Source organism: Homo sapiens, chromosome 16, assembly GCF_000001405.40.
Source record: "Homo sapiens chromosome 16, GRCh38.p14 Primary Assembly".
Classification (NCBI taxonomy): Eukaryota; Metazoa; Chordata; class Mammalia; order Primates; family Hominidae; genus Homo; species Homo sapiens.
Window position 1 is genome coordinate 7,292,842 of NC_000016.10, and position 17,597 is coordinate 7,310,438.

The window sequence follows — 17,597 nt, forward strand, 5'->3', positions numbered from 1 at the left end:
TGGTTTGGAAAGATGGCTTGATACAAAGCTGGATAAGAGATGATCCCCTCAAAGACACAGAAACAACTGTTGCCGAGCTTTTAAGGAGCAGGAAACAGAGGATGAAGGGGTGAGGATACGAATTTGTTCTCTGGCTCTCAAAAAGAAAAGAGGGAAGAGGAAAAGGAAGTAAGGCAGAGAAAGTCTGGAACCAAGACAGTTTAATCAAAGTCGAGGGCACTAGAATAGCCAAATGTCATTTTCAAGGATGTGATAGATACCGTTGACCCTCCACGTCCTTGGGTTCTGCATCCATAGATTCAGTCAACTGCAGATCAAAAATATTCAGAAAGAAATTGTGTCTGTGCTAAACATGTGCAGACACTTTTTTCCTTGTCATTATTCCCTAAACAATGCATTGAAACAACTATTTACATGGAATTTGCATTGTATTAGTAAACCTAGAAGATGATTTAAAGTATACAGGAGGATATGTGTAGGTTATAAGCAAATACTACACATCTGTAGATTTTGGTGTCCTTGGAAGGTCCTAGAACCAATCACCCATGGATAGTGAACGATGACTCTACCGATCCTTGTCTGTGTTTTTAAAATGAGAATCACATCTTCCATTCTCTCTGCCACCATCTTCATGTCTGCTCATACATGCATCATTTAGTGGGTGTATTGCAGAATGGGCTAATTAATTTTATGTGTGGGTCTTTGTAATGGAACCCAGAGACAGGGAATATAAGAACCTGGACTCGCAGGCCAGATGAGGTTGTGAGAACATGAGCTGCCTGTAACCGTGAATTGCAATTTGGGGACTAAAACTTGGAATCCTAGAGATTGTCTGTTTGCCGAGGTGAGATTTTTGAGAGCCAGGAAGGTTTTCTACCCAATACCCGATACATCCCCAGTGTCACCTTGTAAGTTTTGCAGATAAACCTAGTTTCGTATGATTCCTTACATCGTTCCTAGCTCACCTCCAACAATCATCAGACTTTGAAGGTATGCAATGATGCCAGGGACTAAGAATTCCTGGGGTGTCTTTGACCTGTGTTCCAGGATGAGACCCTGGGAAGGTCCAGGTCAAGGTGGATTAATTCAGAGCTGGAGATGTTAGAGGTGAAGTCACTTCTAGTCAGAAATGCTTAATGACAACTCATCTTGTACTTTAAAGATAAAATTTCTGAGCATTTCTGGGGTCAAAGAACCTTGCAGCCAAGCTCATGAAAGAGGAAAAAGAGAATCTTCTGCAGGCTTTGTTTGCCTTCAGGTTTGCTTGAGTTTAATCCAGAAGTCGAAACACAGAGAGTGGGTGGGGTGGAGGGTTCCCAAAGTAGACCTTCCCACCCACTTGTTCATTAGGAGAAATCACCACTTAGCTGTTTTTGTCTCTGCCGCCTACCCTTCCTTGTCCCACGCACTTACATTCAGTCCTGTGCACTGGAAACAGACTCCCACCCTCTCAACTGCCAAACGCTGCACCTTGTCTTTGCTTCACCTCCTGGAGTCCATTGTTTCAGGAAGGCTGCTATAGGAACTGAAGTTACTTGCTTGCTCTGGGTACCTTTTAATTTGGGGTTCTACCTGGTGTGTCTCGGGTCTCTTTTGACATATGTCAGTTGGCTGCTCTGATAGAACATTGTCTCCATAAATTGTCACTTTTGCCAGAAATGATGATAGGAAAGTGTTGGCAAGAAAAAAAAAAAAAAAGACTGAAGCAGAATATTTTCTTTTGAAAAGCTTAGGGCAAGCTGTGGATAGGGTGGGACTTACTCCTGCTCTAATTGAGTAAGGACAAGAAAGCTAGGAAAATTTCATATGATAAAATTAGGTGGCTGGGGTCAGCGATATATTCCTGGAAAAAGAAAGCTTGAAGATAAAATGGCATAGAGTAGTTCTTCACAAAAGTGCTTACGAGGTTTAGATATTGTAAAAAATGATGAATATGATGATGATGATGATGATGATGATGACAGTGGTGATTTTGTAAGCAGCATCTCTACTGCTGTTTGTATTGCATGGTTAAAAAGGATACTTTCTCATTTTGTTCAACAGACCAGAAAACCCTGTTTTCCATCTCTTATTAGAAGGATAAGATAGATACTTCTTGTGCCCTCAGTTTCTTCTTATGTAAATTGGAACTATAAAAATAATCTACCTTGCAGGATTTTGTGAAGATCAGAAAAAAATTAATTACCATCTGGCCAGAAGTAATTTTCTAACATGTATTACGCTTGTCAGTCTTCACAAAATAGTGAAGGACTTGACCTGATGTTGTGTGAGATACAGTTGGTGAAGATTTTAGTTGACAAGGGTTAATGTGTAAGCTGGCATTCATTTGATTCATTAGCAAGGTTAAATAAATTGTGTACTCAGAAGACCAGGGCAGAAAGGTGATGTGTATGATGTCTATACATTTTTGTATAGTGCCATGTCATTTAAAAAAACTTTACAAAAAGAAAATTGTATCTGAAGTTAGTCCTTCCATAAATGTATTGACTTTGTTGGTCTCGTTTGTGTAATTTTTTTGCAAAGAAGGAGGAATGATGGTTTCATCAACTGGTCAGGGGCTGAAAATAGAAATACCTCATAATAATAGTTGCTATATATTGAGTGGTTGCTAGATAATGGGCACCATTTTTATGACTTATATATATTACATGATTTTATCTTTCAACAACTTAGGAAGGAAAAGTATCATTATTCTCCTTAGAATGAAACTGAGGTTTTAAGAACTTGTATGTCAGTAGACATATAATAGCAGCTGCAAAGGTATGATCCAGAGATAGATCTTCAGACCAAGCAGCAAGACTCCAAAAGGTGTACTGCTCACTACAGGTGTACTCAGGGGAGTACACCTTTTGCAGTCTCGCTGTTTGTGTTTGAGGCATACCCACATATGAACCAGAAAGAGTTCCCAAATACCCCATCGCAACTCCATATTTCAGGTGGCCTTGAACGAGCAGGGCTGAGTCATTGAGGAACAAGAATAAACTCTGGTGATCCAACAAATTCAATTCATTTGACCTTTATTAAGCCTCTCCTAAGTGAAAGGCATGCTGCTCTGTGGTTCAGGAAACTCAGAAATGAGAAGGGTGTTTGGTTTGGTTTGCTGCAGTGAACCTGTGGGGGTAAAGAGAATAGTTATTCAAGCCTAAAGAGTGTAACTATTAATTGTTTTTTAGTCTCCTCGTGATAGCTAACAAGTATTGTTGATACTTGTTGTGCCAGTGCCTATGCTGAGAAGCACTTTACATTCATTATCTCGGTGGTTCCCAAATGCCGATCCACAGACTCATTGGATTCTGTAATGACATTTTCGACAGACTGCAGCTAAATGAGAAAATTAAGGGCAATTTAGTGAAAATTTTAATAGACTTAAATTTAATCAATTTGAAGGACTGTCCTTTATTTTCAGATTATGTCCTCCTTTTTTTTTTTTTTTTTGCATTTTCGTGTAAAATGCTGTTTCTTTTATTAAATGCTTATGACAGTAGACAGTGTATGTGAGTTTATGTGTGTATGTATGAATGTACTACCTTGGCAAGAAATTTAAAAGCTGTTAATTTTCATGCAGTCTCTTTACCATTTTTAAACTTTTCTTGGAACTGTCCATGTCATTGAGGGCTAGGGGATAAGAAGTCTGAGAATCATTATAGTTCTGTAAGGGTGCTACCATTGGCCCCATTTTACAGATGAAAAAAACTAAGGCTCGGAATGGTTAGCTCACATGCTCATGTTCACGATAGCTTGCAAGTAGCAGAGCTTGAATTTAAACCAGTTTGTGTGTTTCTGTAGATGCAGAACACCTGCATGATGGGCATATGGCTGCTTTTGCTGCAATGAATAGGCTCCCTAGCCTGTCCCTGGCCATGGATGTGGGCCATGCAACCGTTTTCAGAGTCCCAGGACTCTGGGCCTTTCTTTCGGGTGCAGACTGAAATCCACAATAGCTTTAGACATTCATGGTGTTTCCTAGGAGCTAGTTTGCAGCAGTTCTATTCCTCTACTTGGAGGAATACAGGAGTTAAGAGCCTAGCTTTGTGTCCCTTCCCTCTGCCCCTGAGTCCTGTGTTTCTGTTTACCCTCAAAAATGTGAGCAGTATAGGTATGTGTAAAGGTAAATGCAGACATCCTGCTTAGTGGCTTACAGCAGAACCTCATGTCAGGGGAAGAGCTGGGTTGAAAGATCCCGTTTTCCAAGCTTGCACTCCATGGGAGCCATAGTCAGTAGCCAGTGAGACGACAGGAGGAGAGACAAGGCTCAAGGGTCAAGGGAGAAGACACTGTCTGTACCTCCTGAGCTTTCTCTTCATTGTGCCTGCAGGGAGGAGGGAAGGCAGTTTGGGCCATGGCTTGTAGGAACAAAAAAGGACAAACTTATTTTCCACATCTTCCTGCTTTATATGTGAGGCTTGATGTAAAGACAAACTACCCCACCCTGTGAGATGGGTAATTGAGAATGAGACATAACTGGGTTTGGAAATCAGTTGCATCCCTTCTCTTCTCCAGAAACATATGCAGGTTTCCAACCTGGCAGTCTGTTTCTCAGCAGCCTTGGCACCTGAGGAAGGGGTAAGATGAGGATCTGGGTATTTTTATTTTGATTTCTGACATTGTCCCTAAGAAGTTATGCTGTAAACGGATAAGAGATTCTGGGTTACTGAAATCCTGTATGGATGCTAAGGTGCTATGTAGCTTAGTCCATTCCCTTTTTTGTTGTGGATGTTAATTATCTAGAATATTGCAACTCAGTAGTGGCTTTAAGCAGGTTTTCATGTACTAGCCAGGGAAAGTTACCACCATTAAAAAAAATTATTCTTTAGGAACGTGTAGCCTGGGGTCTTTATAATAACAACAGTTGTAGTAGTAGTTGTAGTAGCAATGATGATAATATAACTGTTTCATTTTATTGTAAAAGTAATACACAGACACATTCTTATTGTGAAAATCTAAGCGACATAAATCTGTACAGAGTAAAAATTGAAATCCCCCCCAATAGCCCCTCCTCTATTACCCTAGATCTAAAAGCATTTATTGGATTGATTTATTTGTTTCCGGGCCCTTTTGTATGCACTTCACATGACTGCATGTATGCCTATTTTACGCACATGCATATGCACATACTTCTGTGGATGTCTATATGCATCCACACACATGTTTTTAAAGAATCGTAGAGTTTTGCTGTTTGTTTTGGTTTGATTTTTCACATGTGAAATTTTGTTATCTATATCCTGAAACTTCTTAGAGAATTTTCTTAGAGATTTTTCCAAGGAAAGACACTCAGATGCCCCGCATTCTTTTTAACTGGTGCATTGCATGCATGTCCTGTACCTTGTTTTATTTATCCCCTGTTTCCCCTATTGCTGTTTATTATAGTTGACCCTTCAGCAACATGGGGGTTAGAAGCATCAACCCACCACAATGTAGAAAATTTGTGTATAGGTTTTTTTTTGTTTTTTTTTTTTTTTTTTTTTGAGATATACTCACTCTTTTGCCCAGGCTCTGGAGTGCAGTAGCATGATCTCAGCCTACCGCAGCCTCCGCCTCCTGGGTTCAAGTGATTCTCATGCGTCTGCCTCCCAAGTAGCTGGGACTACAGATGCGTGCGACTATGCCTGAGGGCTAATTTTTGTATATTTGGTTGAGAGAGGGTTTCACCATCTTGGCCAGTCTCATCTTGAACTCCTGTCCTTAAGTGATCCACTCGCCTTGGCCTCCCAAAGTGCCGGGATTACAGGCATGAGCCAACATGCCCAGCCCAAAATTTGTGTATAAGTTTTGATTCCCCCAAAACTATGATTAGCCCACTATCGACTCAAAGCCAACAGTGGATTAAAACGTATTTTGTATGTTACATGCATTATATATGTATTCCTACAATAAACTAAGCTAGGGTAAAGAAAATATTAAGAAAATCATAACGAAGAGAAAACATATTTACTATTGATCAAGTAGAAGTGAATCATCATAAATGTTTTCATCTTTGTCATTTTACATGAGGTAGGCTGAGGAGGAGGAGGAGGACGAGGAAGACAAGGGGTTGGTCTTGCTATCTCTGGGTCTCTCAGGTGGCAGAGAATTTCTGCATATGTGGTCCTGTATAGTTCAAATCTGTGTTGTTCACGAGTCAACTGTATTTGCTTTTACAAGCAATGGTGGAGTGAATATCCTGGTTTATGTATCATGTATCTACCTCAAATATTTCAGCAGGACAGATATCTAGAATTAGAATAGTTACTTTGAAAGATGTGCGTATTTTAGATTTTGATAGTGAGCACCAAAATATTAATATCATCTCCAGGACTGTACCAGTTTTGACTCCCACCATCTGTGTTTCAGGTTACCCATTTCTCCACAGTGATGTCAAATCTATATATTATTGATAGGCATTTTATTCGTTATTTGATTTTATTTGTTAACTGATGTCAGTCTTTTAGGCAAAAGATGGCCGTAAACTGTTCTAAACCACCAATGTAACTTTGAAAAGCTCATTTGTAGTGGGAGCGAGTTGTGAACTGGGTATTGCCTGCGCTTGTATTTCTGCTCTTGGAAGCGTGGTTTATTTTTAGTCCTGGACTCACTGACAACCCACACCCAAACTAGAAAGCTAGAGGAGTTTGAGGGTCCTTTACACAGAATCAGGCTCTAATCTCGATCCTGTCATTACATGCAAAGCAATTGCTGCTGAATGGTTGGAATTGGTTCTGCCTGGGACGAAGCCCTTTACTCTGAAAAAGGAGCGCTGTGCTCATTTGAGCACTGCCAAAATCCTGGACCCTCTGACTCAGTGTGGAGTGATCGTGCTTTTGCCTAGAGAAACTGTGTCTGAGAAATGGAGCTTCTGCAAAATACAGCTCAGAGGGACCATCAGGGGTTGAGACATTCTAGAGGCCAACAGGCCAGCTTAATGTATACATTAGAAGTGCCAAACTTCTCACCCCTATCCCTAGTAGATTGACCCAAGAGAACTACAGAATTCATGTAGACATGCTCCTCAGTTTACAATGGGGTTATGTCCTAATAAACCCATTGTAAGTTGAAAATATCATAAGTAGAAATTATGTTTTCGACATAGGATATTTTCACCTTACCATGGATTTATCCAGATGTGACCCCATCGCAAGTCAGGGACCATCTGTATTAAACAAATGTGAGGCTTATGCAATAAGATTGGAAGGAGCGGGATGCAAGAGGGGCTTTCTTGAAGCTGAAACTGCATTTTTTCAGAGCAAGTGTAGTTTTTAGGTAGATTTCACTGCCGTCTCCCTTACCCTGGTTTCCCTAATTCCCTGATCTTGATCTTGCCTGCTATGCTTCCCACAGCACTCACCACCATCTATTGTACTGTACTTATTTCTTCTCTGTATTACTTACTTTCTGCTGCCCCTCCCCCACCCACTAGAATGTAAACTGTCTAATGTCAGGGACCTTTGTTTGTCCGGCCCCACTGATGCCGACCTGGGGGCTAGAACAGTGCCTGGAATGAGATCAGCACTAACTAAATATGATTCAGGTGTTTGAACAAGCCAGTGACTCAAAGTGCTTTTGATACAGATAAATAATAAAGTTTTCTAAAGATACTTTCATGCTCACTTTAATGAAGATGGAGACTATATTGTCGTCCACATTAAATTTGGAAGTGAAAGTAAAATATTTCTAAGTCACATCTTGACGTTGCCACTGAGCTAACCCCAGTATAGATGATTACATTGAAGTTCAAGTCCTTCTTTCTGTCTAACTGGAGTCTTGCTTGCTCTGAGGTATGGCAACTCTTATAGAAAGTATTTTTTTTAGTGGAATGTCTGCTATTTCAACAGCCTTGGGAAGTTATAATAAATAGTTATGAAAATGAGAAAAGAAAAAAATGGTTTCCATTCTTCTTTTAAATTGCTGGCAAAGTTGGAAGAAAAAAAGTTACAATATTATTTTATGAGTCAAATTAAAACTTGGGTAGTTGCCTTCTGCCTAAGGAAGTTTCATTTGAAGATGACATTATTGATTGCCAATTTTCCTGCACTTTTTCAGCTTCCTGTGGGGTATGTATAACCATTCCATTAAGGGTCCTTGTAGCTGAAATGCAGGCAGGGTGGCCCTTGAATGCATATGAACCCATGTGATGTTGAATGTCTAGAATTTTTTTTTGTGGAGAGATAAGAGTATTTTCTTTCCCCACTTCTCCCATTTATTGATGTTGGAGAATCATGCCAGAGCTAGTGGCCTTGATATGGCTCTTTCTCAGTCTCTTTTGAGATGGAATTCAAATTTGCTATCCCCAGATGCGGTTTAAAAGGCTGGCAAAGTGTTGTCATCAAGTGAGCGATGATTGTGGATATGATGCTACCATTTGATTTGGGGTCATTGGATGCCCTATTCCTGATTAAGGAGCACTGATGTTATCAATGGAAAAGTGTTCCTCTGGGCTCCTTAATATAGTTGCAGTGTTTATGGGAAGGGGACTTGTCCCTGTGTGTGATTGTGTTTGCATGCACTGGTGGAGAGATGTTCAGGTTTAGTTATCCAGAGAGCAGAGCCCGACTCCAAATAATTTTGATGTGGATTTAGGTCTGGTTCTCATGTTGTACTTTGCAGATCTTCAGTGTGTCTGACTGTGAAAACTTAAGTTTAAGGGAATGTCAGAGCCGTTATTGCAAGATGGATCTGTGGGGATCTAATCACTACTGAGGGGTTCCAACTTTGGGGAGAAAACGGACTGGAAAATCTGTATTGCCTTAGTGCAGCCAAGAGCATTTATTGGGTCTTTACATAATGTATTTGTTTTTCATTAAACCGTTCAGATAAAGTCTTATTAAAGTGCCATGTATTATGTATCATGTTTCTTATGAAAATGAGCTGAAGGAAAAAATTCTCTCCTCTTCTTGGGTTATTTACAGGCTTTTCTAATGCCAGCAAGAGAAAAAAAAATAAAGGAAAGCAGTGCGAACCCGTCCGTACAGCAGATTGCTTGACGCAACAGTAAAGAATGGGAAAGGGAGAGTGAGGATTGGAAAGGTAGAATGGTTGGCCTTTTATTCCATTCGTGTTCTGTGGAGTGACTTTCTCTTTAGTTTTGTGAATGCAAAAATAAATAAATAAAGGCAGGTAGGAAGTAAGAGAAGAAAAGAGGGAATTCTTATATTATTTGTTAATCAAAGCTTGTCCCATGAATGTGACCTCTGATGCAACGTACAGCAAACGTTTTTCAAACTAACCACTGCCAGCACCCCCCAATAAAAGCAGTACAGAATAGCAGCCTCTACTTTCCCACTCCCCTGGATGAACTTCTGCCTAGGGCTAAAGGGTTAAACATGCTACTGTGTCCCTGATAAATTGATGGGATGTGTGAGCCCCAGAGAGGTTGGAGGCACTGGTTTTGCAAGATGAAAAGTGGAAAGAAACAGCGGGTTGGGGCCTAGTGTTAGGCAGAGTGAAGACTTCATAGTTATTTCAAACAGAACGACAACAAAAAATAGAGCCGTGGGATAATTAGTTTTCTTTTCTTCAGAAAGCATTTTGATTAGCCTGCAAAGTGAGTTGTGCCTTGCGAGCTGATGGCTGGGTTCAGAGCCTTCATTTGGCTGAGGATGTCGGGGTGAGCCCTGAGGAGGAGGGGATATTTGGGATGTCCCTGGTGGCCAGTTCCAGGGTTCTGCCCCAAATATTCTTTTGTGAGAGAGCCCCCATCCCCTCTCAGGTACGGTTCCGTCCTGCAGGTCAGTGAGAAGCTGTCAGCAAGGTTTCTTTCAGGAAGCCCAACAATCAAAAAAGCTGCTGTTTAGACAGCTGATCTCTTGGTCTGAAAACAAAAAAAAAAAAAAAGAAAATCCAATCACTGGGTCAAAATCTATATTAAAAAAATATGGCTACTCTTCCTGATCACGATTTTATTGCTGCCAAGAATGCAAGAATGTGCTTTTTTTTTTTTTTCCTGTCAGGACCAAGGACGAGTTAGAGTCTTAATATTTTCTTTCGATTTGCAGATCACATCCTATTTTATTGCATAAAGACTAATGAAATCTACTAATGAATAATTATTACTTCATAAAATAAAGGGGAGGGGAGACCCGTTTGCAAGAGCAGAATGTTAATTTGGCCAAGGAGGGCTGGACAGGCAAGAATAAAAAAAATAAATAAATAAACCATTGTAATTTGCTCCCTGCAGCCGACGGAGTAATCTCTTATCAGACACGGACTTCCCTACCCTGTGCATTTATAATTTGAGAGGAGCGGGTGTTCTGGGCTGGGAGAAGCCCCCTTCCAGTCGCCCCGAGCTGGCACGTTAGTCCAACAGGCTTGATTTCCACGCCAGCCTGGGCGGTTGCTCTCATTGAACAGCTCAGGGGCTGGTTCGCTGGCTCGGGGCTGCCTGCCCAACCAAGGCGAGGCACAGAGCGAAAGCTGCGCCCCAAACGCCCGGGGGTGCATCGGCGCTTCGGTGCTCTGCTGGGGGGCGCAGAAACCTCCTCCCCTCCCTCAGCCCAAGCTCCCTCCTGCCCCCAGCCCCTAACGTCTCAGCACTCCACCTCCTGAGGAGGGGAAATCCCTTTTCTGTGTTTATTTGGCAAGGAATCCGGCAAACGCACCGCCACCAACATCTACCACTGTGGGTCCCAGCTGGGCCATCGCGCTAATTGTCCAGCTCGCCTGATGCCGGGCGCGCGGGGCGCTCGCTCGCCTGCTCACCGGCAGAGGGTTTTAGCAGACCGAATTTAAATTTTGGTGAGTGTTTTTTTGAAACAAACAAAAAAAATAAATAATTTTTAAAAAAAGCGAAGGGGAGGGAAGGAAAAAAAGGAAAAAAAATCTTTCCCCTGGACCCATTTGACAAATGAGGAGACAGACAGCATCAGAACCAACGGAGTGAGCTTCAGTGTGAGTCAAAACCTCTCTTCCTCTCTTTCAATCTCTCTCTCTCTTTACCCTCCCTCTCGCTCTCTCTCTCTCTCTCTCTCTGTCTCTCCCCTCCCTCTCTCTTCCTCTCTCCCTCTCTACCTCCGTCCCACCCCTTCCTCCTCTCCCTCCCTCCCTCCCTCTCGCTATCCTTGCCCCCCTCCCATTCAGCCTCTTCGGGAGGGCAGCGCATCCCCTGCCCCTTCCAGAGAAGTTCCCTCTGCCGGTTCTCGTGTCACCTTCACAGGGGTATGGGGTGGGGGGCCCCTTCCACTTTCCGGGGGATCAAAAAGCAGGCCCAACAACCCAGAAAAGCCAGACGACCGCGCGAAGGGAACCAACTAGTTTCCAGGTCCCCGCAAGTGTTTTAGTTGGAGGCAGAGGAACGCCGGGATCTAGCACATCCCCAGGCGGGGAGAGCCAGGGAGGAGGGACCGGCGGGGTGCGGTGGGGGGAGGGAGGAGGAAAGAGGGGGAGAGAGACAGAGAGAGAGACAGAGAGAGAGAGAGAGAGAGAGAGAGAGAGAGACAGCGCGAGCCACCGGTCATTGACTTAGATAACCAGCAAAATTAAAAAAGAAAAAAAAAAATTGTAGCGCCCAGGCAGAGAGCAACGTGATTGCATTCAAGCGTCCCCACTCGGGCTCGGCGGGCGCCAGAGAGACATGATGCAGCATCCTCTGACGGGGGCCACCTGCGTGGCGCTCCCCAACGTGGGCATGTGTCCCCAGCTTTCGTGTGCCTTGACTTTTATGTACTTACAGCAGGTAAGGCGCGCGTCTGCCCTCGGTGGCTGCTTTCCTGGGGCTGGGCCAGATGGGTCCCCGCGCGTACTGGGCTGCGCTTCGGTGCCTTATGTAGGTTCTGAGGAGGGGGCTCCCGCGTTGCGATGGAAAGGGTGGATGGAAGCCTCCTGCTCTCTGTGGAGCCCGGGCACCTCGCGCTGAGATGTTTCTGCACCTGTCCGAATACTTTAAAACCGCCTGATGCCCAGCCTGGGCACCGGAAGTTTGAAATGGAAAACTGCCTTTTCCTTGCTACCATCTTCCTTGTGTCAGTGCCTTTCGTGGTGATCTGAGTCTAAGACCCCTTTGATGCTAAGAGTTTGAATCTTTGTGGAGGCATTCCGGTGCCTGTAGTGTTAATTCAGCTGATTTAATAGAGAGTGGAAAGGAGAAGTGTGTGGTGTGTGGTGTGGTGTGTGTGTGTGTGTGTGTGTGTGTGTGTGTGTGTGTGTGTGTTTTCCTAAGTTTGTGTGGTGCTATATTCGGTCCGCATGGGATCGCAGCATTTGAATTTCTGGAGTGTGTCAGCCCCAGTCTGCCTTCAAACTCACTGGCAATGCTGTGAAGAAGGTGAGCTGTTTAGGATGTTGTCTTTGTTGGCATGTGTTAGGGTGTTTGTGTGTGTGTGCGTGTGTGGGTTTTTTTTTCCCTTTCACTTCTCCTTAGTGGTCTTGCTGAGGGAGTCTGTGTTTGCTTTATTTTCCATTCATTGTGCACATTTCAGTCTTTTGACACCTTACTCTCTGTCTTTCTCAGGGTGTTTCCTTGGGACCCTCTCTGCTCTGTCATTCTTTCTTTATTGGAAGGGTTGCTTCCTGAGTTGGTTCCTGGGCTTGGGAAATAGCTCAGCACTGCCCTTGTAGGGTGACAGGCCAGCTCTCTGTCATTGGGCAGGGGCAGTGGATGTGAACTGAAGGGCTAGAAGGGGTTTTGTCATGCAGATGAAAATCCTTTCTCCCTCCCAGGATCTCCATCCTATTCTATGAAGGTTTACAGTGATTATACTCATTTTATCTGTTTTTCCACGGACTCACTTCAAGAGTACCATTTGTTAACATGAGTGTGTGAACAGAACTTCCTATGCAAGAGTTGAGAGTGGCCCTCTTCCCCAAGACCCTCAATTTCAACCTGTGTTAAAGGAATGTATATTTTTATAAAATGTCAGGATTCTGTTTTGAACATTTGGGTGATTTTCTATCAAGTTGGTTGACTCCAGAAAATATTTCTTAGGTGTATTTTCTGTTGCATGTCTTTTTGAGAACAGTCTTAAAAAAATCTTGGGAACCAATTTGTTCTTTTAAATATTATTTTATTACGTTCATTATTGAGTAAATCGTGCCAGAAGACATTTCCCAAGAGAGTATTGATAACATATTATATGCTTCATCTTCCACAATTTCTGTGCCTTTGCTGTGGGTGTGTGTGTAAATGTGTATGTGCATGTGCGTTTTATACCAGTTATTTCCACCGGAAGAAAATTCTAATGAGCATTTCTATAGATGCTAAGCCTCAGTTGGATTTATCAAATTATTACTGAGTTGATCTTTTGCCTTTTACATTTACTTCTTTCATGTTATTTATTAATCAATTTGAATATCATTTACCTAGCAAGTAGAATGCTATAGGTACTCAATGTTCTCCGTTCCTTTGTGTGGTGGTGTTTGTGTTTTTTTCAAAAATACATCCATGTTTCTGCCTTCTAGATTTTTAAATTGGCTTACTCATTTGGGCACAACTTAGGAGAGAAGATAGTGACTTTGAGTGAGAGGTTATTCTTGCCATGAGAAGAACAAACATATAAGATAAACACAAAGGTTCTCAGCATCTTCCAGGCAGTCTCTCCCACGAGGAAAAACACCCCTGCTCTGGAAAGGGGAGGCTTGAAGAAAACATTGGCAGCCACAACAAATATTTAGAAGTGACTAAATCAGCATCATGGTTCCATATGAAGATAGATGGAGGGTGGATTTTGAAATGTGCTTTGGAATGCATCTCCCCCTCCCCTGAAAGGACTTGCACTGCTATCTGTGAAAGTGTTTATAATGTGATACTATGACATAATGTGGGAATGGTGTGCGTGTGTGTGTGTGTGTGTGTGTGTATTTTCTCTGAGCTTCACTGAATACCTGAAGTATAATAAAGGCAGTCATTTATTTTTGCCTGTTTCATTCAGAATTAGGTTTTCTAGCCCTTCCTGGAAGCTCACCGCTAGGGTGTAAGTGATATACCTGGAGTCATCTGTCCTGGCCATTACTGTCGTGATAGTTCGTTTAAAAGTCTCAAGTCACTTATTTTATTTAGCATTCCAGACAATCGGCTGATTAAGAGTGTGAAATAGTTTAATCTCCACATACATAAATCATATCGATAAGTAATATCTTGTACCCAGACACCACTACTATATTTTTTATCTGCCTTTAATCTGTAGCTATTATTGGATCTCTAGCTAATTTTGGTGAACAGAAGGGTAATCTTTGATCTCAAAGTAAATTGATCAAGTGGACGAATCAGGCAACATTTATGATAAGTAACACCTTCACTGAAAACAATTTTATTTTATAATTGTTTAGAAATAAACATAATTCAGAAGTCTTTGTCATTGAGATCACCAATTACATAAGAAAGTAATCAACCCACATTGATCTTATTTTGGAGCATTTATCATTTTGTTTTATAAATCCACAAACTCTGACCACCGGCCATCGAGTCTTCCCTGAAGTATATTTTTCTGGAATGCAGTTTCATATGGTTATTTCTTATCCAATAACTAAGGAAAATGACTTCATTAAATGCTTTCTTTGTCTCAGCATGAACATCCAACCTTTCCTCCTAAATTCTCACAGATTTATCCATAAGACAACTCATAAAAACAAAAATCAATTGGGGTGCCTCAGCATCGGAGTCTACTCTGAATGGCCAAGTGTAAGTGGCAACATATCACTTTTGCCACGAATAATTTATTTACTTAGGCCAATGAAGAAGCAACTTTGATGTTTACATTATTTGACTTATCCTGTTTCACTTATTTGTATGTCCCAATAACTTTTATCTAGATAAGTGTTTACTTACAGCTACGATTTCTTTTCTTTTCTCCTTCTCCTCTTTTTTCCTCCACATCCAAGATGTTACTACAGTTTAGAGCTGCAAGGTGGGATAATGCTAAATAGTTTTTTTGGCGTCTAGATATCAGACCCAGTGATGTACTCACATAGGAACACACAAATTTGTATACATACACACAGACACATATACACACACACCTAGTATAGAGCATATATTTTGTGGTTGTCAACCACTTTCAGATGGAACGGACAAGTAGTCCTTGGAGCAACTGGCTTCAATCTTGCTGTCCAGGGAAAGTCCCTGCCTCAATCTCCTTTCCTGAGTGGCTTCATGCTGTGTCTTCTTTGATGGTGAATCTTCTTGAAGCTGAACTTAGAACTCACATATCCCCAATACTTAATCTTCCACGTTCCAAAGTAAGTACTCATGGAACCATTCTTGCTTTGAGGAATAATTCTGAATACAATTCCACATTAGGGGGTTTGCAGCAAGCTAGGTCAAAAGAGAACCTATTTTGTTTTCCTGATAGAGAAGAAATAGAAAACAGCCACACACACATGCATGGACACACAGGACACAGAAATCTAGAGATGGTTTATTTCTATTGTAAGTAATAGAGGGCAAACCTTATAGCACCCATCTCATGGTAAGGTATGGTGAGGCAACAGACAGGATGGATGATGAGATTCGTTTTCTGATGCAAACTGCGTGTCAGATTCCACCCAGAGCTGTTTTTTTTTTTTTCCACTGAGTTTAATGTCCTGAAAGAGGATCAGTAGCATATTAACTTAATTTTCTCTGTTCTTACACCACCAGCGTCTCTCAGTACTATTCTAAGAAAGCTTCTTATCTGTCAAGCCCTATCCACTGAGAACCTTTTTATCAGCCTAAATTTAAAAATACGTCAAATGCTTAAAATCCACATTAGAGGGGGCAGAAAAGAGCCTCTAAAGTGGGCCATGCCACTGTCAATATTCGAAGATTGGTAATTTTTCCCACTTAATGATGATCCATGTGGTTTGTTTTAAGTAGTGAAGTGGTTTGTACAAAGGGTAATTCCCAGTAAATGAAGCCATTGCTCACTGTGGACATCTTCAGATCGAAAGCAATTGAACTGAAACCTGCATATCAACCCTTTCTGTCTTTAATTAGAAAGCGATTCTCAGTTCAGGGAATCACCTGGGGAAGATGGGCTCTCGCGCGAAGGCTGCAGGCGTTGGGGAGGGTGGCCCCATGCACCAGCCACGGTTATAAATTTTGGAAACATTAGGTAGGTCATAACAATTATGACTGTGTAGAAAAGTTCAATTCTCATTGCAGTTACTTACCTTGTGTTACTCCATCTGATGATTTATAGGGGGCCAAATGGAATTTATCACATTCTTTCTTTTTGGCTTAATCCCGTGTTGATTTATTAGATAGTGCTATGGATTGGGGGTGGTCGATAGTGTCAGTAACGCAGAAAAGAATTAGGATAGATTAGCTTCATGTCTGAATTGTTTAAAGGAATTTAAGTGGCTGGAATGAGCACATTTCCAGGCCCAGGTGGCTGCCTGATAGAAGAAAGGTCCCTCAGTCTCTTTCTAGAGGGATGTCTTACGTCGTAAATTGGTTAACCAATCTTTCTTGTTTCTCTGATCTTTTCCGATTAAGAGAAGGCATGAAATGTTAGGCTGTTATCAGCCAGGTAAGGCCCACATTTCAGGTGAGCTGGGGGTCATCTGTGCTTCCCCCCTTTGGGGAACCTATGGAGGGCCGCGTGTTGTGGACATGGACTGCAGGGCCACCTGGGCTGCCTCTGCTTTAAAATTACTTAATCCAACAATCACTTCTGAAAATTGTAAGCATCTGTTCATCCACAGACCAAAGCCTTGTGCCATTCGCCTGCTCTGCCTGCCATTTTGAGGCAGTTTCTGTGTTATAACATGCAACTGGCCGCTCCTGCCTTTGCCCGGCTGGAGAAAGTCTGTGTTATTAGTGCTCACCCGCCATCTGTTTTCCTTACAGCTGACCCTTGAGTAATTCTCCAGTAGCTGATGGACTGAGGGTAGACAGTCTTTTTTAGGGTTTTCTGATTCATTTAACCAGGTTCTCTGCCCCAAGAGGAAACATAATGCTTGTTTATTCATATTGGCCGGGTGAAAACAGTGTAGTTTGTCAGGCAAATAATAGTCCTGTGGAAGGGAACGAAATTGCAGCATTGTAAACAAAATCAGGTTGCTGACTCTGTGCCTAAGGGGGTTGGGTGATGAGCAGCACATGTCATCCCGTGAAGGAAGCAGAGCTGACAGGTGTGGGTGTAATTGTCCCATCTGCAGACCCCTTTTTAATGGACGGGGAGAAGTGTCCCAATGTTCTGTTTAATTCAGTTAAGAAAAGCAAAGAAAGTTCCATTCATCAATAAAGTTTCCTATTGCCGGGTGCTGCCCAAGAGAACTCTGCCGGGCTGAGCGTTGGCCCGTGGCTGTTGGCATGATGCAGCTTGCCTCACCCAGCCCTATTGAGGGCGGCTGTGTCAGATAGGGTCAGCTCTCAGGCACAATGGCCCAGAAGAGCCCTGGCCCTGGCCCTTTAACCATGCTGAATACAGGTGAGCTAGCCAAATGAGCAATGGACCCGCAGGCCGCCTCTGCTGGGAGACAGAGCTGGCCAGGGTTCTCTCTGAAGGATCCTGAAATGCAGTTCCTGAGCCTGGCATACGATGAGGAAAGAGCTTGTGTGGTTGGAATGTCCTGGCTCCTGAGAGGGTTTGGGGAAAGAGGCTTTTCATGGTTGTTTCTGATCTTCCTGTCATGCTATAGCCCTGATGGATTGATCCCGGCTAAAAAAGTGACAGAATTTGGAACCAGGGTTGGTGGGGAGGAGGTAGAGA

The 17,597-nt window shown here is 42.5% G+C and overlaps 1 protein-coding gene and 1 long non-coding RNA gene across 39 annotated transcripts in view; one reads left to right on the forward strand and one right to left on the reverse strand.

Annotated features, from left to right (window-relative positions):
• The window catches only part of RBFOX1 (RNA binding fox-1 homolog 1), a 2,473,620-nt gene that overhangs the window by 2,053,121 nt on the left and 402,902 nt on the right, over positions 1–17,597 (forward strand). For 7 of the 38 annotated variants that reach the window (NM_001415890.1, NM_001415901.1, NM_001415899.1 and 4 more), the window contains exon 1: positions 11,515–11,644. The exons of 30 other annotated variants lie outside the window; for them this stretch is intronic. In NM_001415890.1, the coding sequence (NP_001402819.1) occupies positions 11,543–11,644 (102 nt within the window). In that variant the 5' untranslated portion in view covers positions 11,515–11,542. Of the gene's footprint in view, positions 1–10,376; positions 11,645–17,597 lie in introns of those variants that run through there. One more of the 38 variants, XM_005255386.5, reaches the window with a different exon arrangement.
• LOC124903640 (uncharacterized) lies at positions 8,716–11,839 on the reverse strand. Its single transcript, XR_007064971.1, has 2 exons — positions 11,640–11,839; positions 8,716–9,784 (listed from the first exon to the last, which is right to left on the reverse strand). It is a non-coding gene; the product is annotated as an uncharacterized LOC124903640 (long non-coding RNA).